At 47.2% G+C, this 21,735-nt stretch overlaps 1 protein-coding gene across 1 annotated transcript, besides 3 other annotated features; it reads left to right on the top strand.

Moving 5' to 3' along the window:
• Positions 1-738: 738 nt before the first annotated feature.
• Positions 739-6,645, top strand: FOXI3 (forkhead box I3). Its single transcript, NM_001135649.3, has 2 exons — positions 739-1,536; positions 4,603-6,645. Exons 1-2 carry the CDS (start codon positions 897-899, stop codon positions 5,223-5,225), a joined length of 1,263 nt encoding a protein of 420 aa, NP_001129121.1. The 5' UTR covers positions 739-896; the 3' UTR covers positions 5,226-6,645.
• Positions 8,447-9,080: an enhancer, noted in NCBI's record as "H3K27ac-H3K4me1 hESC enhancer chr2:88743871-88744504 (GRCh37/hg19 assembly coordinates)". NCBI's record gives its function as "activates a minimal SCP1, AML or CMV promoter by ChIP-STARR-seq in naive H9 embryonic stem cells {active_cell/tissue: H9 hESC(naive)}" and the evidence as "EXISTENCE:reporter gene assay evidence [ECO:0000049][PMID:30033119]".
• Positions 9,081-9,714: an enhancer, noted in NCBI's record as "OCT4-H3K27ac-H3K4me1 hESC enhancer chr2:88743237-88743870 (GRCh37/hg19 assembly coordinates)". NCBI's record gives its function as "activates a minimal SCP1, AML or CMV promoter by ChIP-STARR-seq in naive and primed H9 embryonic stem cells {active_cell/tissue: H9 hESC(naive and primed)}" and the evidence as "EXISTENCE:reporter gene assay evidence [ECO:0000049][PMID:30033119]".
• Positions 11,138-11,638: an enhancer, noted in NCBI's record as "H3K27ac hESC enhancer chr2:88741313-88741813 (GRCh37/hg19 assembly coordinates)". NCBI's record gives its function as "activates a minimal SCP1, AML or CMV promoter by ChIP-STARR-seq in naive H9 embryonic stem cells {active_cell/tissue: H9 hESC(naive)}" and the evidence as "EXISTENCE:reporter gene assay evidence [ECO:0000049][PMID:30033119]".

The raw sequence follows: 21,735 nt of genomic DNA, 5'->3' as shown, positions 1-21,735 counted from the left end.
GTTTAAAATGCTAATTCCGAAGGTACTTATTTAAATGTCTTTGAAAACATTCACCTTTATGTTTTTGAAGATAACAAATCACAACGAAAGCCCGTACAAACCGCACAGAAAACGAATAAATGCTTCCCGAATGTGAGCGAACCTACAGTTTGGTTAGAAAAACTCAACACTGATTTCCGTTCCTCCAATCACAGAATCCCCGAGGAGAAGGGGACACGCCAAGCGGGCCTGTTAATAACCTCTACCGTATACCCCAAAGCGTTGTAAATCACATCGATTATTTTCGACTGGAAGCCGATCGGTTGAGACTGGACGTGAATTCCGCGACTCGATCACAAAAGGTTAGGAGGAAAGAGGTAGAAAAGCCAAAAGGATGACTAGGCAGGTGGCCCGAGCGGCCACCCCAAGTTAACTTTTTAGAAATCATTCGTACTGTTCGGGTTATCTTCTCTTTAATATTCGTGGCTTTACTTATTATGATGTTAAGAAACGTGGGCTAGGAATGGGGTGCTGCTTTTTGCCCGAAACCTGGAGGCGCCGGCCTCCCAGACGCTCCCGGGCCCGGGCAGAGGGGCGGTAGGGGCGGGGCGGGCGGGCTCCGGGTTTGGGCGCGCGGGCAGGTGGGGCGTGGCGGGGGCGTGGAGAGCCCAGGCCCGCGGCCACCGCCCCGCTCCGGGCCGGCCCAGGAGGAGCCGCGCCGGGCTCGGTTATAAGAGGCCGGCTAGCAGGCGCTCCGCTAGCACCCGCCCGACCCCGGCCCGGAGCACCGGGCGCCCAGCGCGGGTGAAGGCGGAGCCGCAGGGTTGGCCCCCAAAGGGATGCTCTCGCCCGAGCGGCGAGACCAGCCCCGCTCGCCCCTCGCCGCGGCCGCGCCGCAGCCGCCCACGGCCGCCGACATGGCCCTCTACTGCGGCGACAACTTCGGAGTGTATTCGCAGCCCGGCCTGCCCCCGCCCGCCGCCACCGCCGCCGCCCCGGGCGCCCCCCCGGCAGCCAGGGCGCCTTACGGGCTGGCCGACTACGCCGCGCCGCCGGCCGCCGCCGCCAACCCCTACCTGTGGCTCAACGGGCCCGGCGTGGGAGGCCCGCCCTCCGCCGCCGCCGCAGCCGCCGCCGCGTACCTGGGCGCTCCGCCGCCGCCGCCGCCCCCCGGGGCCGCGGCCGGGCCCTTTCTGCAGCCACCGCCTGCCGCCGGCACCTTCGGCTGCTCTCAGCGGCCCTTCGCGCAGCCCGCGCCCGCCGCGCCCGCCTCGCCCGCCGCGCCCGCGGGGCCCGGGGAGCTGGGCTGGCTGTCCATGGCCAGCCGCGAGGACCTGATGAAGATGGTGCGGCCGCCCTACTCGTATTCGGCGCTCATCGCCATGGCCATTCAGAGCGCGCCCGAGCGCAAACTCACTCTCAGCCACATCTACCAGTTCGTCGCCGATAGCTTCCCCTTCTACCAGCGCAGCAAGGCCGGCTGGCAGAACTCCATCCGCCACAACCTGTCGCTCAACGACTGCTTCAAGAAGGTGCCCCGCGACGAGGACGACCCAGGTGAGGGCCGCTGGCAGGTGCTTCCCAGCCGGGGAGGGCGGACGCGGGTCGCAAGGGCCGGCGCAGGGGTCGGTGTGCGGCTGGAAGATCTGCCAGGAGTCTTCTTGTCCAGGCTGCGGGTGGGAGCGGATGGAGGAATAACCACCCAACCCAGAGGACAAAGGGAAGGAGCAGGAGATCTTCGGAAGGAAGACTCAGTGAGAAAGGAGCTTGACCTTTACATCCACATTCGCAGAGGCGGGCCAATTAGAGAAACGAAAAAAATCTGTATCCCAGAACAGAAGGCTACCCCTGGGTGGTGTTCCTTAGGCCTTTTGAAGGGAGGGTCTACTTACAAGGGAGCTCTCAGATAAGGGATGGTTATAAAGGGATCCGTGTGAGCTGGGATTTCCATCACGTTTCGCAGAAGACGCGGTGGGAGAACTGGGGTCCAGCCCGGCTGTCCCTAGGTGCACTTCCTCCTCATCGGGTTCCAGAGAGGTTCGCTGTGTCCTGAATAGAGCAAGTACGATGCCTACCTCTAGAGATAGTGGCACGGGCATCATGAGACGGGGGTCTGGGATGGGAGAACTTTAAGCAGAGAGGTTCTGCAAATTGCAGTTTGGGTACCTTAACTAGTTAGAAATTTAGAAATGAATATCCCATATTTGCTGCGTTCTGGTCTAAGCCCAATTGCTCCTGGAGTGAGGAGGTCTGTGTTACAGTGGAGTGAGTGTTAACCTTCTCTGAGAGGTAGAGGTGGAGAAATGATTAACAAGAAGAGAGAAACAGAGAATCCTACTTGAGGTTTTCAGAAGGAACCCAGAACAAGGAAAGGAAAGGGGATTGTGATAGGAAAAAGAGAAAAGAGATGAAACCATTTTAGTTGCACATTACAGAGATCCAGGATTTTGTGTAAATTATGTGACTATTCTGGAGCTCAGAATGAGCTCATCCCTGAAGTCACTGTAGACCAGCACTCTCCAATGGAAATACGATACAAACTAAATAATCCAAAATATTGTTTCAACATATAACAAATATTAAAATTACTAATGAGATTCTTTGTTATTTTCTCGGTACTAAGTCTTCAAAATCCCTTGTGTATTTTACACTACATCTCAATTTGACTAGCCATATTTCAAGTGCCCAATAATAATGCGTGGCTAGTGGCTACTGTATTGGGCAGGGTATGCAGTTCTAGAAGATGCATCCTCTGGATTTGGCTTCTGTACCACCCAAGATTATCATGTAAATTGTCGTGTAAACTGCTCTAGACTTCACTCTAAAAGGTCAGGGGTCTATGGCTAGTTTTTTATCAAAAAAGTTGGTACCAACGTGGCACAATATACATATCCAGATAGGTGGAGATATTATTGAAATTCTAGTTATGTAATTTTTTTCCCTATAACTATTTGCAGAACGTGGTTCAAGTGGAGGCGGCTTAGCCCAGTGGTTAGTTAAGAATGCTGAGGTTTTTTTTTTTTTTTTTTGAGACAATTTCACTCCTGTCGCCCAGGCTAGAGTGCAGTGGCGCAATCTCACTGCAACCTCTGCCTCACCAGCTCAAACAATTTTGCTGCCTTAGCCTCCCAAGTAGCTGGGACTACGGGAGCATGCCACAGTGCCCGGCTAATTTGTATTTTATGTAGAGATGGGCTTTTCCCATGTTATCCAGGCTGGTCTCGAACTGCTAAGCTTCAAGTGACCCACCCGTTTCGGCCTCCCAAAGTGCTAGGATTATAGGCGTGAGCCAGCGCCCAGCAAGAATGCTGAGTCTTTTAGCCATTCATAGTGGTATACTCCTGTCATACCAGCTACTCTGGGAGGCTGAGGTGGGAGGATCGCTTGAGGCCAGGAGGTCAAGGCTGCAGTGAACCAAGGTTACGCCACTGTACTCCAGCCTGGGTGACAGAGGGAGACCCAGTCTCAGAGAATATAAATAAATAAATAATTTTTTTTTTAAATGCTGAGTCTGGAGCCAGCCTGTTTACATCCTGACTATCATGGCTAACTTAGGAATATGACAAGTTACTAACCAGTCTGCACCCCAGTTCTCCTATCTGAAAAGTGGAAGGAGTTATATTGCCTATCGCCATAAAGCTGTGAGGAGTAGCTGAGGTTATCCGTGTAAAGCACTTACCACAAGATAAGCATTCTACAGTACTTTAAAACATCGGATTCTTTTGCCAGAAGTGAAAAAAGCTTTTGGGAGATAAAATCCTCCAAGATGATAGATCTTTTCTACCTCACTTGTGGCAAATAGAACAAAACTAGCATTACATGCAGAAAAATGAGGCCCTGGTGTCTGAAATTTATTTACCCAATGGGTGAAACATTTGCAGGATTTGTAGGGGCAGGTCCTGCCCAAAATGAGGAGGGGATGTAGATTCCAGGAGCTTCCTCATACTCAAAATTTATGCCATCCAATGCATGGTTAAAACAGTTGCTCAGTAATAATTTTTTTTGTCATTTTGAAATTGCCTTTGTCTGGTGGGGCATTTTTCTCAGAGGTGGGGAATTATGCACTTTCAACGAATAATAATTGTTAAGTGCTGTTTTTGCACTGCTTACTCTGTGCCAGCTACTATGCTGAAATAGTTAATCCTCACAGTCAATCCACTAAATTAGTACTATCCTTATCTCTATTTTATAAATAAAGAAACGGAGGCTCAATTTTTTTTTTTTTTTGTAGACACGAGATCTCACTATGTTGGCCCAGTCTAACGCTCAACTTTAAGTAGCATCAGAATTCCATGACTTTGCAAGGTCATACAATTTGGATCTAGAATTAGTGAAGGTGTTACATGATTTAATTATAAGTGTCTCAGAAATGGAATTAGGTCTTCAGATTTAAGTAGTAGACACCACCAGGAGGAGGTAAAGGTGGCCAGAACATCTTTGTTCTGGATTTTTCTCTGAAGCAAAGAGTAACATTTTCCCCGAAAGAGGATTGGTTTGAATATTAGAGTGAATTGAGCATCTTTGTCAGCATCTAATGAGAGTCTGCTCTCCTCCCAGAAATGAAGCTGAGTACACAGGCATTGAATAGGTCCTTCTCTAACTTGGTCTTTCTCATCTTCTCAGGAAAGGGTAATTATTGGACTCTTGATCCGAACTGCGAGAAAATGTTTGACAATGGGAACTTCCGTCGGAAGCGAAAGCGCCGCTCTGAGGCCAGCAATGGCTCCACAGTGGCTGCTGGGACATCAAAGTCCGAAGAAGGGCTCTCCTCAGGATTGGGGTCTGGAGTGGGTGGGAAGCCAGAAGAAGAGAGCCCCTCCACTCTGCTGAGGCCTTCCCACTCCCCAGAGCCTCCGGAGGGCACCAAGAGTACTGCCTCATCTCCTGGAGGACCCATGCTCACCTCCACCCCTTGTCTCAACACTTTCTTCAGCAGCCTCAGCTCCTTGAGTGTCAGCAGCAGTGTGAGTACCCAGCGGGCTCTCCCTGGCAGCCGCCACCTAGGGATCCAGGGGGCCCAGCTGCCCTCCAGCGGCGTGTTCTCCCCGACCTCCATCTCAGAGGCCTCAGCAGACACCTTGCAACTGAGCAATAGCACCAGCAATAGCACCGGCCAGAGATCTTCCTATTACAGCCCTTTCCCTGCCAGCACCAGCGGGGGGCAAAGCAGCCCCTTCAGCAGCCCTTTCCACAACTTTAGCATGGTGAACAGCCTCATCTACCCCCGAGAGGGCTCCGAGGTGTAGAGCAGACTCTCAGACTTGAGTATGCACACCTGAGGCGTGCACACATGCTGATTAGAATGCAGATTCCAAGTCAGTAGGTCTGGGGTAGGACCTGAGTTCTGCGTTTCTGTCGAGTTCCTGGGTGATCTCGTGGTCCTTTGACCACACTTGGAGTAATGAGGGTGTAGTAGATAACTCTTGCTACAACCCAGCGAGCTTTTACAGGTTTCTCTGCATGTGGGCCTCTCCAGAGAGAAATCCGTTTCACTGTCTTCTGTGATAGGTAGCCTGTGAGCCCCGTGAGGGCGGGGACCATGTCTATTTTGTTTATCACTGTATGCCAGGATTGCAAGCTCAAGTGTGTACAGATGGCTAAAAAAACACAAGCCAACGAAGTTACTGGGTGAGAAAACTAACATCAGTTGGCAACTGAAGCAGTAGAGGGTAGTTGGGACTGACTAGTAGAAGGCTGCTGGGAACAGCTGGTTCTTTCTCTCCTCTGGCAGCATTCTGATTTTGTTTTTTTGGTTTTTTTTGACACAGTCTGGCTCTGTCGCCCAGGCTGGAGTGCAGTGGTGCTGCAACCTCCGCCTCCTGGGTTCAAGCAATTCTCCTGCCTTAGTCTTCCGGGTAGCTGGGATTACAGGTGCCTGCCACCACATCCAGCTAATGTTTTGTATTTTTAGTAGAGATAGGGTTTCGCCTTGTTGGCCAGGCTGGTCTCAAACTCCTGACCTCAGGTGATCCACCCGCCTCGGCCTCCCAAAGTGCTGGGATTACAGGTGTGAGCCACTGCGCCCAGCCAGCATTCTGATTTTTATAGAAGAGCCAGATATCTGAATTTTTATAGGAAACCTCCAACTTTGTGTCATTTGCCTCTGAAGATTTTTTTTTGGTTGTTTATCATACTGTCCTAGGCAACACCACAAATCCTTGAGCTATGCATAGGCAGCTCACAAATCACCTCTGTCTGGTACATGGTATATTCTAATGGCAATAAAATGGCACAAGCAGCCTTGTGTGCCAGGCACTGTTCTCGGCACTTGTCATGTATTCATTTAATCCTCTCAGAAACCTTGGGTGGTGGGTATTGTTACTACCCCCCATTTTCCATGTAAGGGAAGTGAAACTTCAGGATGTTAGGTCACTTTGTCTATTTTAGTCATCACTGTATACCAGGATTGCAAGCTCAAATGTGCACAGGTGGCTAAAAAAAAGTTGTGACCACTTTCCAAGGTGAGACTGATAGTAAACTGGAGCCAGGATCAGACCCAGACAATCTGGTTCCAGAGCTGGTGCTTGTAACTTCTGTATTCTACTTCCTGCAAAACCAAGAAACCAGCCTCCATAGCCAGTTATAAGTATATAGAGGGAAGGAATGGAGCTAGATCTCATTTGACCAAAGATTCTAGTTGAAAATAAAAGTCATCTGGTGTGTTCCCCTGGGTGGCACCTCTGTCTGAATCCTGCTGCCATAGTCCAAAATCTGGGGTGACAATTGTCCTAGTTTGTAATGGTTAGCCTGGCATCCTCTCCCTTTTAGCTTATATCCTGGATGTTTCCTTTTCTAACAAAGTATTATTAGAATTTTATTAAAAATAGCTTTTGTGTGTGTGTGTGGGTTTTTTGTTGTTGTTGTTTTGTTTTGTTTGTTTTGTTTTTTGAGACGGTCTGCCTCTCTTAACCAGGCTGAAGTGCAGTAGTGAGATTTTGGCTCATTGCAGACTCAACCTTCCCAGGTTCAAACAGTGGCCCCTTCTCAGCTCCCCCAACCCACCCCAGTAGCTGGGCTCACAGGTGTGCACTATGCCCAGCTAATTTTTTAAATTTTTGAATTAATATTTTAACTTTTTAATTTGTAAATTTTTAAATTTAAATTTTTTTATTTTAAAATAATTTTTTAAATTTTTTTTAAATTTTTTTTATGGGGGTTTCAAAAAAAAACACAAAGCTCACTGCAGCCTCAATCTCCTGGGTTCAAGCCATCCTCCTATCTCAGCCTCCCGAGTAGCTCGGACTACAGGTGCACACCACCACACCTAGCTAGTTTTTTTGTATTTTGTGTAGAGATGGGGTTTCGCTATGTTGCCCAGGCTGGTCTTGAACTCCTGGGCTCAAGCGATCTGCCCACTTCTGCCTCCCAAAGCACTGGGATTAAAGGCATGAGCCATCACACCTAGCCAAAAAAAAACTCTTAAATGGAATTTTAGACCAGGTGCAATGGTTCACACCTGTAATCCCAACACTTAGGAGACTGAGGTGGGAGGATCGCTTGAGTCCAGGAGTTTGAGACCAGCCTGAGCAGCACAGCAACACTCTGTGTCTACAAAATATTTTTAAAACAATGAAGAAATGGGATTTTATAGTTTTTAATACAATAAACCGTTTGTGGTCAGTTTTTAAAAAGATATATTTAATCTTATTTATTTTAGCACTCTCTTCTCAGAGGTATCATTTGAATAATTTTTATGGGCAACCTTCTAGTGCCCAGTAGAGTGCCCAGTACACTCATCCACTAGTTGCCGAATGACAGAATTTATTCAGGGCCGGCGCAGTGGCTCAAACCTGTAATCCCAACCCTTTGGGAAGCCTAAGCGGGCAGAGCACTTGAGCCCAGGAGTTTGAGACCAGCCTGGGCAACATGGTGAAACCCCATCTCTACAAAAAATAACAAAAATTAGCTAGGTGTGGTGGTGTGCACCTGTAGTGCCAGCTACTTGGGGGGCTGAGGTGGGAGGATCACTTGAACCTGGGGAGTTGAGGCTGCAGTGAGCTGAGATCATGCTACTGTATGACAGCCTGGGTGACAAAGTGAGACCCTGTCTCAAAAAACAAATTTTTTATTCAAAAAGTGTTCATTAAAATGCAGGTAGTTGTCAAATTTATGGGAACGGTGTTCCACAAAAATGAATTCATCGTCCTATGAGTTGCCTTTGTACCACGTTTTTGGATGTGAGCATGGCTAGTTTGGGGTTTTAACTTTTTTAGAAACAGGAACAGAAGCACATTGTAAAAAAATTTAAAATTCCCTGGGTATTTTTTCACCCCGAGACTCTCACAGCATTACTTTAAAAATTTTTTATTTTGAAATATACATACAGAAAATTATTTTTCTAAACAGCTTATTGAGGTACAAATGACATCACCATTACTTTTTTAACATTATGCAGAAAGACAACCAAAGACTACCTACTCCCACAGTATGTGTACAAAAAAACGGTTTCTATGGATATTTTTGTATATGAAAATATCATGGACTTATATAAATATTGTTTCTAGCACAACTCTATATTTGTAAATTAATTTATAATGTAAACTGGGGCAGCAAAGAAAAGTTTTTCCCAAGAAAGTTCACTGCATGCTGAGAAGAAGAATCACATGAAATAAACTTAAAGTGGGATCACTTCTGGCTTCCTGGGTATTACTGCTTTCCTGTCTTCAGCTTCTTTGTCCTAAAGAACTAGAGATGTGAGCAGCGTGGCAACAAACCACTGTGGGGAGAGTGAACGACTGGTTTTCTCATTCCACCTACCCACATCTGAAAGGGCTGGAATAAAACAATTACTCTTCAGAGGATCTTTAGGCATATGAGCATTTTGGCTTTTTGTTTTTTTTTTTTTTGAGTCTCACTCTGTTGCCCAGGCTGGAGTGCAGTGTTGCAGTCTTGGCTAACTGCATCACTGCAACCTCCGCCTCGTGGGTTCGAGCAATTCTCCCTTGGCATCCTAAGTATCTGGGACTAGGGCGCATGCCACCACGCCCGGCTAATTTTTGTATTTTTAGTAGAGATAGGGTTTTGCCATGTTGGTCAGGCTGGTCTCGAACTCCTGACTGCCAGTGATTCACACGCCTCGGCCTCCCAAAGTGCTGAGATTACAGGGGTGAGCCACCGCGCCCGGCCCGTTTATTTCTAATAGATGAACAGTTCTGTTACTTAGATTAAATTGAATTTCAGTGCAGCAAAAAACCTACTACAGAAAGAAATGTGCTTTGAGGCCTCATGCCTCAAGGAGAGCTCTGCATCCTGGGGTGTGGTCCTCAGGGGGACTGCATGCAGCCCATCATTTCCAAGGAAATAGCTGGAAACCTGCCTCTAACTAGACCAGGGTTTCTCAATCATCAGCAGTACTGATATTTGGGGCTGGATAATTCTCTGTTGTAGAGGTTCTGTGTATAATAGGACATTTAGCAGCGCATTTATAACTTTAAGTAGCTGCCTTCCAGCCTTTAGGACCTAGTGAACCATTCAGAGTAAGACGGCAAAGGAGGTGAGGAATTAATAAGCAGGTTTCAGATTTCTTTCTTGACACTTTTAGATTCTTCATCCCATTCTTGAACTTACTGGAAAAACAGCAGTCTGGGAGGCCAGAGGCTTCAGAACTGTGTGCCTTTGTACCCCTCCCCCCCACCACCCTCTCCATCCCCCGAGGGCGCTCACAAGTCCCCAAGTCCCTCCCAGGACAAAATGGGGCAAGCTTTGCTCTGAACCTCAGAGCGAAGGCCCAAACTGCTTCTCTTCCCTCCAGAGACTTTCCAGACTTGGAAAGATCCTAAATCCTCAGGGTCTAATGGGTTTTTATTTTCTTTGGCTGCTCTAGTAGTGAAACCTTGAGGTTGTTAATGAACCCTCCCCTCCTTCCCATGTTTTCCTGAGACTGGAGACTTGCTGGCTTCAGGGCTAGAGACCTGGTGGTCTTGCCTTTGTCATGGAAAGCTGTCAGCTGGGGTGTGTGCTGGGTGCTGGCTCCGCTGAAAAAAGAAGGAATTTCTTGTGAGATTTTAAAACAAAAAAAGGCCACAGAAGACCAGATACCTACTGAATTCCTCCCTACTTTTTTATTCATGATGTCAGGAGATCATCACCAAAACCCTGGGAGGCATGAATAGCAGTCATCATTTTTAAAAAGACAACATTACAATAATAACATTACAATAATGACAACTCACTTATCAGGTGCCAGGCACTACCCTACAGCACATATTAAATATAAACTATCTGTACTAACATCCCAACAACTCTATGAAATAGATACTGTTATTATCCATCTCATCAATAGAATACTAAGGTCTGGGGAGTTTGTATAACCGGGCCATGGTCACAGATCTAAGTGGTTGCTGCAGGTAAGTGGTGTAACAGGGATTCAAAATTAGGCCGTGTGATGTCAGAGTCCTCCTGACCTTAACCTACAATAGTGCCTCTCTGTTTCAAAGTGGAGAAGGGAGAGGCACAGAGAGGTTAAGTGACTTGCCAAAAGCCATACAGTTTGTTGGTTCCAGACTTGGGCCTGGAACCCAGGCTCCTGCCGCCCCAATTCAGTAATGTTTCCTTCCAGGCATTTTTTTCTGTATGCTTCCTGAGGTTGGATTTTGGATCTGGGGCTCCTTTTTGTGAAGACGGGAAGGGAAGTCGCTGTTTCTTGGCATGTCCTCCTCCTCAGGATCAGCTAGCAGCCAGGTCAGTGGCTCAGGTCTCATGCTCTGAAGCTGCCCAGGAAAGCCAGATGATGGGGATGCTGGTTGGGAGCCTGAGCCTCACAAGAAGTGTATCCACTGACTCAGCAAATCTCCTGTGGGCACCATGCATCGGGCTGGGCTTTGAGGATACTAAGATGACTAAGACCCATTCTCTGACTTAAGTTGCTCACTACCCAGAAAAAGAGACAGACCCTTAGCAAGCATGACGCAGGGCAGTAACAGATGTACCCAGGACAGAGAGGATCCCTGGGGCTGCTCTGAGCTTCCCCACCTAGCTATGAGGCTCTGATGGGAGACAAAATGGTTTAACCTCCTGGAAGAGTAGAGGACAGCTCCCCAGGTCTGGCCGAGAGGCTGCAGCTTCTGCTGGGAGAAGACAGACCAGGATGGTTTCGGGTGTACAAAGCCACAGTGCTTCTGTAGAAGCGACTGGGTCAAGTCATGCGGAACTTGCTTCACGGCCTCAGGCCTTTGCACATGCTTAGAGTCAGTTCCCTCAGCCCTTCCAGCCTCCAGGCACATTCTATTCAAGCTAACCAGTCAGCATCAGCATCAGTATCAGTGTCTACACTCCTGGCTCTCAGCTTTCAACCCCAGTCCTGTGTGGAGAGACTGACTTCTTTGCATTGCACTTCAAAGGAGGTTCAAGGCTACCTCCTTTGTTGGAGTGTGTTGGAGTCTCCCCACTCCCCCCACCCCCCTTTACTTCCTTGAAACTCATTCAGTAAACCACAGTGCAGGGGTCCCTCTGTTCTGTACTGGAATTAGAAAGCAGGGCATTAACAAGCCTTGTGTCCTCTTTTCCCTCCCATCTCTAAGGATTATGTCAACTGACCCTACTCTACCACCACTCACCTTCAACTCTGCACACCTGAGCCCACTCACAAGCACTGTGGCCATACCCCAGTTATACAAACTCAGTCCTGGGCCTCAGTCTTCCCCTCAGTGAAATGATGATAGCACTATCTACTCCACAGGCTTGATGGGAGGGGTAACATTCATCTGTGTGTTGGCCTAACCGAAACAACAAGAAGGGCCTCTGTGTCTACTCCACTTGTCTCTTCTCAGAAAGATTGACATCAGTATTATCCATTTTCCATTTTGTTTGTCCAACAACGCTGGGCAGTGAGTGTGTTAGCCTTGTATTACGGAAAGGTAAGAACAGAGTAGCAGTCTTGGCAAATAGCCGCCAGGATGGAAATCTCACGGGAAAGAGAAGTCCACTCATTCATCAACAACTGCAGTTACCAGGTAAGTCAGTTAATCAACATCCCAAACACCTACTAACTCTTATTTTGCTTCCTCTATTTCTGTCTCACACCCCACATTCAAGCCTGAAACAAGAACTGCTCCATGACATCTCAGGGATTCAGCCGCCATCACCGCCTCTGTTGGCTGGAGGACCATGGCAGCCTCCTCCCTGGGCTCCCAGCCGCAACTCTTGGCTCCTTCCTGTTCACATTTCGTTCCTTTCTACTATTCCAAGGTCAGTCGCCACTCGGAAGCCAGTGTGATATTTATACATATAGAGACGATTATATTGTTTTCCTGCTTAAAACCTTTTGGAATGGTCTACTGGTGAGCAAACTCCCAGGTTCTTCTGTGGCCCTGCATGAACCATAGCTCCTGCCCCTCCTGCCTCTGCCTTACACGCTCCCAACCACTCACCATCTGTAGCCCCTCAAACATCCCAAACTTGTCTTTTTAAGGGTCTTTGCCATTCTTCCTTCTGCCACAAGAGCTCAATGCCACATGTCTTCTCTGGCTTCAACTCTTTTCTTTTTTTTAAAATAGAGATAGGGTCTCACTATGTTGCCCAGGCTGGTCTTGAACTCCTTGGCTCAAGCAATTCACCCACCTCAGCCTCCCAAAGTGTCGGGATTATAGGCATGAGTGCCGTGCCTGGCCTGGCTTCAACTGTAAGGCCTGTTTTCCAGAACAGCTGTCCCTGAACATCCTAGCCCCTCCCCACCCCCACCAACTCACTTCAGGCTGCATTTTATAGATTTTTTTTTTTCTGCCTTAACTAAGCCTTTGATTCAAAACAAAATACAAATATTATAAATAGGATGATTTCTGGAGGTGAGAAGCCAGCAGGGCATGAGGGACCTGTGAGGGCCATGATGTGATTCACCCAGCCACACTCAAGGGCAATCCCATCCATGTGTGTTTTTTGAGACAGGGTCTGGCTCTGTCACCCAGGCTGGAGTGCAGTGGCATGATCTTGGCTCACTGCAACCTCTGCCTCCTGGGTTCAAGTGATTCTCTTGCCTCAGCCTCCCAAGTAGCTGGGATTACAGGCACCTGCCACCAGGCCCGGCTAATTTTTGTATTTTTAGTAGAGACAGGGTTTCCCCATGTTGGCCAGTCTGGTCTCAAACTCCCAGCTTCAAATGGTCCACCTGCCTCGGCTTCCAAAAATACTGGGATTACATGCATGAGCCACTGTGCCTGGCCATCATCCTAGTTTGTGAAAAAGCCTCTGTCTAAGTGAGATCACTGTGGTATTGATCCTGAGAGAAAGGTACTTAGTTCCTCCTCCTCTTTTGGAGAAACTGATGCTCAGGGCATCCATGTTCCCATGACTTTTGTTTATGATACACCCCACTTGCCAGACTGGCATTCTTGGGTAGAGGAAACAGACAAAGTTATCTTTCTCCTTTAGTTTTATAAGATGGGTAAAATCTCAAGAATTTTGGCTGTGTTTAGCCTGGATTTAGAACTCAGCCATCTCCATTTCCTGACACACTACTTCCCCCTTCCCATTTTCATACCTACCCTGTGTCCTCCTATACTTGAGAGCCTCCGCCAAACACCTGGAGTCTTTGATCATCAACCCTTCAGTTGCCCCCCAGCATTCGCTTAGGTAGAAGACTTTCAAGTTCTCCTCTCCCCCTTTGCTAGGTTTTGGGAAAGTAAGAAAACATTCACAGCAGCTGTTACAGTGCACCTTTTCCCACAGACTGGTGGTAAGAGCCAGAAGATTGCCACTGAAGTAAAGCTTTTAAAAACCTTTCCTACAATGGGATTAACTGCCATGCAGCCAACGATGCCAGCCACACATCATAGTAAAGTCAGCCATGGGCCCCAGCCTCTTCCATAGCCTGCTCAGATTATGCGCTGATGTTCCGCTAGATGAACCTTTCTTGATTCAGGAACTAGTGAGAACACATGTGTCCTACCATGATAGGGTTTTGCCATTACTGAAGCAGTTGTGGGGATAGCACTTGTGTGGCAGTAATCCTCCTTTTTAACAGCTTACATGCCAGGATTTCCCTAGAGAGGCAGCATCACGATTCATTCTGATGTTTCTGAATTTAGTGTTCCTTCATTAGCTCAGTGATTTTTACTAAATGCTTACTATACCTACTGGGAGACACAGCCAAAAGCAATGCCCCAGTAAGGATGGCACTTATATTCCAGTGGGAGCAAAGAGGGGCTGGCAGCAGGGTGACAAGTGCCTTGATCAGGGAAGTGTGGGGGGCAGTGGGACTCTCTGGGAGAGTCCCCACACCCTGACCTGAGTAGGGGTTAGCCAGACAAAGGGTGCTAAGGGGAAGGACTAAGTGTGGGTAGAAGAAGCCATGCAGAGGCCGGGACATGAAAGAACACAGCTCCTGTGGAGAATTGGAAGAAGCTGCCCAGGGAGGCAGGCCAGCCCACAGCAGAGTCTCAGACAGGGAACGGAAGTGGAGGCTGGGAGGTGGCTCTATGGTCTGCAAAGCCCATTAAGTAAATAGAATGGGATAGAACAGAATAGAATGGGAGTGAGAATCTAATTTTTTTTCTTTAAAATTTTTTTTTTTTTTTTTCCTGGCTGGGTATAGTGGCTCACGCCTGTAATCCCAGCACTCTGGGAGATCAAGGTGGGCAGATCATGAGGTCAGGAGATCAAGACCATCCTGGACAACATGGTGAAACCCCATCTCTACTAAAAATACAAAAATTACCTGGGTGTGGTGGCATTCGCCTATAATCCCAGCTACTCGGGAGGCTGAGGCAGGAGAATTGCTTGAACTAGGGAGTCAGAGGTTGCAGTGAGCCGAGATTGCACCACTGCATTCCAGCCTGGCGACAGAGCAAGACTCTGTCTCAAAAAAAAAAATTTGTTTTTAAAGGAGAGGTAGGGCTGGTACGTGGTGGCTCACACCTGTAATCCTAGAACTTTGGGAGGCCAAGGTGGGCAGATTACCTGAGGTCAGGAGTTCGAGACCAGCCTGGCCAATATGGTGAAACCCCAATCTCTACTAAAAATACAAAAATTAGCAGTGCATGGTGGCACATGCCTGTAGTCCCAGCTACTCGGGAGGTTGAGGCAGGAGAATCGCTTGAACCCAGGAGGCGGAGGTTGCAGTGAGCCGAGATCATGCCACTGCACTCCAGCCTGGGCGACAGAGGAAGGCTCTATCTCAAAAAAACAAAAACAAAAACAAACAAACAAAAAACGGGGGGAGAGGTGGTCTCACTATGTTGCTCAGGCTGGTCTTGAACTGAAACAACCCATCAGCCTTGGTCTCCCAAAGTGCTGGGATTACAGACCACCACACCAAGCCACCACACCCAGTCATCTAATTTTAAGAATGAAATTCATTTTAGGCTGGGCACGGTGGCTCATGCCTGTAATCCCAGCATTTTGGGAAGCCAAGGCGGGTGGATCACTTGAGGTCAGGAGTTCGAGACCAGCCTAGCCAACATGGTGAAACCCTGTCTCTACCAAAAATACAAAAAAATTAGCCAGGTGTGTTGGCGTGTGCCTATAGTCTCAGCTACTCAGGAGGCTGAGGCAAGAGAATCAGTTGAACCCAGGAGGTGGAGTTTGCAGTGAGCTGAGATCGTGCCACTGCACTCCAGCCTCGGCAGCGAAACAAGACTCTGTCTCAGAAAAAAAAAAAAAGAAAAGAAAAAAAATAAATTCATTTTAAGAATGAAATTTGGGTTGTGTGTGGTGGCTCAAGCCTGTAATCCTAGCACTTTGGGAGGCGGAGACAGGCAGATTGCTTGAGCCCAGGACTTTGAGACCTGTCTGGGCAACATGGCGAAATACCGCCTATACAAAAAAAAAAAAAATACAAAAAATTAGCCAAGCCTGGTGGCACAGACCTGTAGTCCCAGCTACCGAGGAGGCTGAGGTGGGAGGATCGCTTTAGCCAGGGAGATCAAGGCTGCAGTGAGCCATGATCGCACCACAGCAGTCCAACCTGAGTGACAGAGTGAGACCCTGTCTCAAAAAATAAAATAAATAAACAATAAAATAAGAATGAAATTTGTGTTTCAAATAGAGTTCTTTGTCAATAATCCTTTGAAGGGACAAGATTTCCTAAGGAGACCATTCTGGAAGCTACTGTAGAAATATAAGCAAGAGGTGACAGTGGTCTAAAGTAGGGTAGGGATGCTGTGGAAGAAAACAATGGGCAGGTTTGGGAGATACTGAGGAGATAGGAGGGAACAGACTTTGTGGTTTCCGAACGTGGTAGTTGAGGGAGAAGGAAGGGTTTGAGATGACCATCAGGTTCTGCCTGAAGCAACAGGTAAAAGGTGGTGGTGTTCACCAGGTCCGGGCCCTGCAGAGGAGGTAGGATTCTTTGTGGATCACCAGGAGGAACTTTGTACCAGGAGCTGCAACCTATAGATCGAGATTAGGAGAGGGGACCAGGCTGGCTATGTACATCTGGGTGGTATCAGGATATGGAAGACAGGTTTAATTTAGTCATTTAATAAAACTTTCATAGCAGCTACTTTGTACGAGCCCTTATGTTAGGGGCTGGAGATAAATGGTGAGTAAGATAGACTTGTTTCCTTCTCTCTTGGAGTTTACACTCTAACTGGGGAGACAGACTTCCACTAAATAAATTCACAAATGAATATGTCATTACAGAGCAGCATAAGTGCCATGAAGGGGCCAGGCAGGCTTCTGTGAGTGTATAAAAGGAGGGACAGGAATCTAGCCTGGGGAGTCAGAAAAGGTTTCCCTGAGGGCAGGCAGCTTGAATTGAGATCTGAAGAAGTGGTCATGGGTGAACCAGGAGACAGGAAGGGAAAGGGCGTTTCCAAACAGAGGGAGCAGCACTTATACAAAGTCTCTGTCACAGAGGGCTGGGGGACACAGGAACAACATGGTGGCACATCATCAGACTTGCATTTTGAATGGGTGGGTGAGGTAGGGGAGTCTTCAGGGATGGGGTGGACAAGTGTAGGAAGTTATTACAGTTGTTGGTAAGTGACTTGAACCAGGATAGTGACAACAGAAAGAGGCATGGATTCTTTTGAAAGATATCAAGGAATTAAAATCAATAAGACTTGGTAAGGCATTGGATATGGTGAGGAAGCCATCAGAGATGTATTCTGTGGCCTGGGAATTAAGCTGGGAGGAGGGCCATTTCTGAGGAGGGGAAATTGAAAAATTAGTTGTTTTGGGGAGGAGAAGATCATAAATTTGGTCTTGACACATTGCACTGAGTTACCTCTGAGATATTTGAGTGGAAGTGTAGATAGATCAGAAGCTCAGAGGAAAAACCTAGACTAGAAATTTAAGTTATGAATCACTGAGGTAGAAATATTAATTAAGGGGCTTCTAGTTTCTGGTCTGACATGTGAAAAAGCTTGGAAGTTATCACTTTTGTGCTTACGACAAGAAAAAAACTGAACAAACTAACAACTTTTCTTAGATTCATCAGAGAATTGAGGTCACAGGGCAAACTGCCATCCCAAATACCAGAGAAAGAGGTGGTTACCGAGAAGCACAGAGAACATCTTACCAGTAGCTGAAGCCTGTACTGATAGAAAAACTTAAACTGTAATTGACAGATTGCAGGAGGCTCAGCCTGTGGACAAACTTAAAGAGTTAAAAACTCACGCCTGTAATCCCAGCACTTTGGGAGGCTGAGGCAGGTGGATCACCTGAGGTCGGGAGTTTGAGACCAGCCTGACCAACATGGAGAAACCCCGTCTCCACTAAAAGTACAAAATTAGCTGGGCGTGGTGCCGCATGCCTGTAATCCCAGCTACTGGGGAAGCTGAGGCAGGAGAATCGCTTGAACCCGGGAGGCGGAGGTTGTGGTGAGCTGAGATCATGCCATTGCACTCCAGCCTGGGAAACAAGAGTCAAACTCCATCTAAAAAAAAAAAAAAAAAAAGAAAAAGAAAAAAATGCTGAGAAGCACTTATGAAGGTCACAGCCCAGAGGCACAGGCTTGCCAAAAGACCTACTCATAGGATTATAGAATACTTCCTCCTCCCCAACACCTTACCACTATGTTAATCGGCCTCCTGTATAACAGTGGATTACATTTAAAAGAACGGCAAGGCTCAGACTCTATTTTCAGAAGTTGTCACTAGAGAAACCCAAAGAAAACAGGGGATACATGGCCAGGCACTGTGGCTCACATCTGTAACCCCAGCACTTTGGAAGACCGAGGTGGGTGGATCACTTGAGGCCAGGAGTTTGAGACCAGCCTGGCCAACATGGCGAAACCCCATCTCTATTAAAAATACAAAAATTAGCCGGGTGTGGTGGTGCACACCTGTAATCCCAGCTACTCAGGAGGCTGAGGCAGAAGAATTGCTTAGACCCGGGAGGTGGAGGTGGAGGTTTCAGTGAGCCAAGATCATGCCACTGCACTCCAGCCTGGGTGACAGAGTGAGACTGAAAAAAGAAAAAAAAGAAAGGAAGAAAGGAAGAAAGGAAGAAAGGAAGAAAGAAAGAAAGAAAGAAAGAGAGAGAGAGAGGGAGGGAGGGAGGGAGGGAGGAAGGAAAGAAGGAAGGAAGGAAGGAAAAGAAAAGAAAGAGAGAGAAAGAAAAGAAAGAAAAGCAAACAGGGGATACAAAAACAAGGACATTGGAAAATAATTTTAACCCATAACACATACAGCTACAACAACAGCAAACACAGCCTAACTCCTAGCTCAACAAGGACATCGGAAAATAATTTTAACCTCTAACACATACAGCTACAATAAAAAGTAAACACAGCCTAACTCCTAGCCAAATAATCATAAAGCATTACCCTAAAGGCCTGTCTACCTCAGTTTCTTTAATGTGAAGCATCACGTCTAGGTTTCAACAAAAAATTGTATAAGGCATGCTAAATGGCAAAAAATGAAATTTGGAGACATAAAGCAAGCATCAGAACCAGACTCAGATATGACAGAGATTTTGGAATGATCAGACCTGCAATTTAAAATAACTATGATTAACATGCTAAGGCCTCTAATGGAAAAAGTGAACACCATGCAAGAACAGATAAGTAATGCAAGCAGAAAGATGGAAACTCTAAGAAAGAATCAGAAGGAAATGCTGGAAATTAAAAACACTGCAAGAGAAAGGTAGGGGGATGGGGGAGGGATAGTAAGAAAAAAAATAAAAAAATAAAAAAAGAGAAAGGTAGAGGCCGGGCGTAGTGGCTCACAGCTGTAATCCCAGCACTTTGGGAGGCCGAGGTGGGCAGATCACGAGGTCAGGAGATCAAGACCATCTTGGCTAAGAAGGTGAAACCCCATCTCTACTAAAAATAAAAAAAATAAAAAAAATTAGCCGGGTGTGGTGGAATGTGCCTGCCTGTAGTCCCAGTGACTCGGGAGGCTGAGGCAGGAGAATCGCTTGAACCCAGGAGGCACAGGTTTCAGTGAGCAGAGATCATGCCACTGCACTCCAGCCTGGGTGACAGAGTGAGAGTCCTTCTCAAAAAAAAAAAAAAAAAAAGAGAGAGAGAGACAGAGAAAGGTAGAATGCATTTGATGGGCTCATCTACTCATCTGTAGACTGGACATGACCAAGGGAAGAATCCGTGAGCTTAAAGATATGTCGGCTGGGTGCAGTGGCTCACGCCTGTAATCCCAGCACTTTGGGAGGCCGAGGCAGTGGATCACAAGGTCAGGAGTTAGAGACCAGCCTGGCCAATATGGTGAAACCCTGTCTCTACTAAAAGCACAAAAATTAGCTGGGCGTGGTGGGGTGCACCTGTACTCCCACCTACTCGGGAGGCTGAGGCAGAAGAATTGCTTGAACCCAGGAGGTGGGGTTGCAGTGAGCCGAGATCATGCCACTGCACTCCAGCCTGGGCGACAGAGTGAGACTCTGTGTCAAAAAAAAAAAAAAGATATGTCAATAGAACTTCTAAAACTGAAATGAAAAGGGAAGATATGATGAAAAAGATAGAACAGACTATGCAAGATCCAAGAACTGTGGAACAATTACGAAAGGTATAACTTACATGTAGTAGGAATACCAAAAAGAGAAGAAAGTGAGAAAGGAACAGAAGAAATATTTGACATAATAATGGCTGAGAATTTTTCAAAAATTAATGACTTTTTAACTCAAAATTTCTAGATCACTGCAATATTAACAAAATCTTTTTTTTTGGTTGTTTTTGTTTTTATTTATTTATTTATTTATTTTTGAGATGGAGCCTCACTCTGTCACCCAGGCTGGAATACAGTGACATGGTCTTGGCTCACTGCAACGTCCACCTTCCAGGTTCAGGCGATTCTCCTGCCTCAGCCTCCCAAGTAGCTGGAATTACAGGGACTCACCACCACGCCCAGCTAATTTTTGTATTTTTAGTAGAGACGGGGTGTCATCATGTTAAACAGGCTGGTTTTGAACTCCTGACCTCAGGCGATCCGCCCGACTGGGCTTCCCAAAGTGCTGGGATTATAGGCGTGAGCCACTGTGCCTGGCCCAAAATTAACAATTTTTTTTTTTTGACATGGTGTTTTGCTCTTGTCGCCCAGGCTGGAGTGCAATGGCGAGCTCTCAGCTCACCGCCTCCTGGGTTCAGGTGATTCTCCTGCCTCAGACTCTCAAGTTGCTGGGATTACAAGCACCCGCCATCATGCCCAGCTAATTTTTGTAGAGAGGGGGTTTCACTATGTTGGCCAGGCTGGTTTTGAGCTCCTGATCTCAGGTGATCTGCCCGCCTCAGCCTCCGAAAGTGCTGAGATTACGGGCGTGAGCCACTGTGTCTGGCCCCAAAAAAAATTTTTTTGAGACAAGGTCTTGCTCTGTTGCCCAGGCTGGAGTGCACTGGCATGATCACTGCTTACTGTAGTCTTGACCTCCTGAGCTCAAGCAATCCTCCCACCTTAGCCTCCCGATTAGCTAGGACTACAGGTGTGTACCACCATGCCTGGCTAATTTTTTTCATTTTAAAATTATTATTATTTTTGAAACAAGGTCTTCCTTTTATTTTATTTTATTTTATTTTTTTGAGATAGAGTCTCACTCTGTCGCCTCACCCAGGCTGAAGTGCAGTGGCGCAATCTCAGCTCACTGCAATCTCTGCCTCCTGGGTTCAAGCGATTCTCTTGCCTCGGCCTCCCAAGTAGCTGGGATTACAGGTGTGCATGACCAAGTCCAACTAATGTTTTTGTATATTTAGGAGAGACGGGATTTCACCAAGTTTGCCAGGGTGGCCTCAAACTCCTGACCTCAAGTGATCCCCGGCCTCAGCCTCCCAAAGTGCTGGGATTACAGGCGTGAGCCACCACGCCCGGCTGAGACAGGGCCTTTCTCTGTCACCCAGGCTGGAGTGCGGTGACGCAACCATGGCTCAATCACTGCAGCCTTAACCTCCCGGGCTCAGGTGATCCCATCTCAGCCTCCCGGGTAGCTAGGACTACAGGCGTGTACCACCACGCCTGGAATTTTTTTCTATTTTTAGTAGAGATGAGGTTTCACCATGTTGGCCAAGCTGGTCCTGAACTCCTGGGCTTAAGGGATCCGCCCACCTCGGCCTCCCAAAGTGCTGGGATTACAGGCGTGAGCCACCACACCTGGCCATCTTTGCCAATCTTAAGTGGTTGGGTAGAAGATAAACACATAGATCCTTCCTTTACACTGCCCACGAGCGATTACAAAAAGAAATGAGTTCTGCAGTAGGGATTGTCCAGGAAAAAAAAAAAAAGTGAGAACAAAAAAATTCCATTTAACTTCTAGTTAAACATGACAAATGAAATGGGGATTTATCTTTATTCCCTTGAGATGTTGCTAAAATGAATTAAATAAATAACTGAGTAAGATGAATACAAGGCATGAGGCAACAGGAGAGGGGAGACAGCA

The sequence above is a fragment of the Homo sapiens genome, chromosome 2 (genome assembly GCF_000001405.40).
Source record: "Homo sapiens chromosome 2, GRCh38.p14 Primary Assembly".
Lineage (NCBI taxonomy): Eukaryota > Metazoa > Chordata > Mammalia > Primates > Hominidae > Homo > Homo sapiens.
Note: the sequence above shows the minus strand (reverse complement) of the source record. Positions and strands in the feature narration are given on the sequence as shown.

Coding starts and splice junctions, on each gene's coding strand:
- FOXI3 (NM_001135649.3), top strand. CDS start 897: ATGGCCCTCTACTGCGGCGACAACTTCGGAGTGTATTCGCAGCCCGGC. Junction 1,537..4,602: donor CCGCGACGAGGACGACCCAG/GTGAGGGCCGCT, acceptor TCATCTTCTCAG/GAAAGGGTAATTATTGGACT.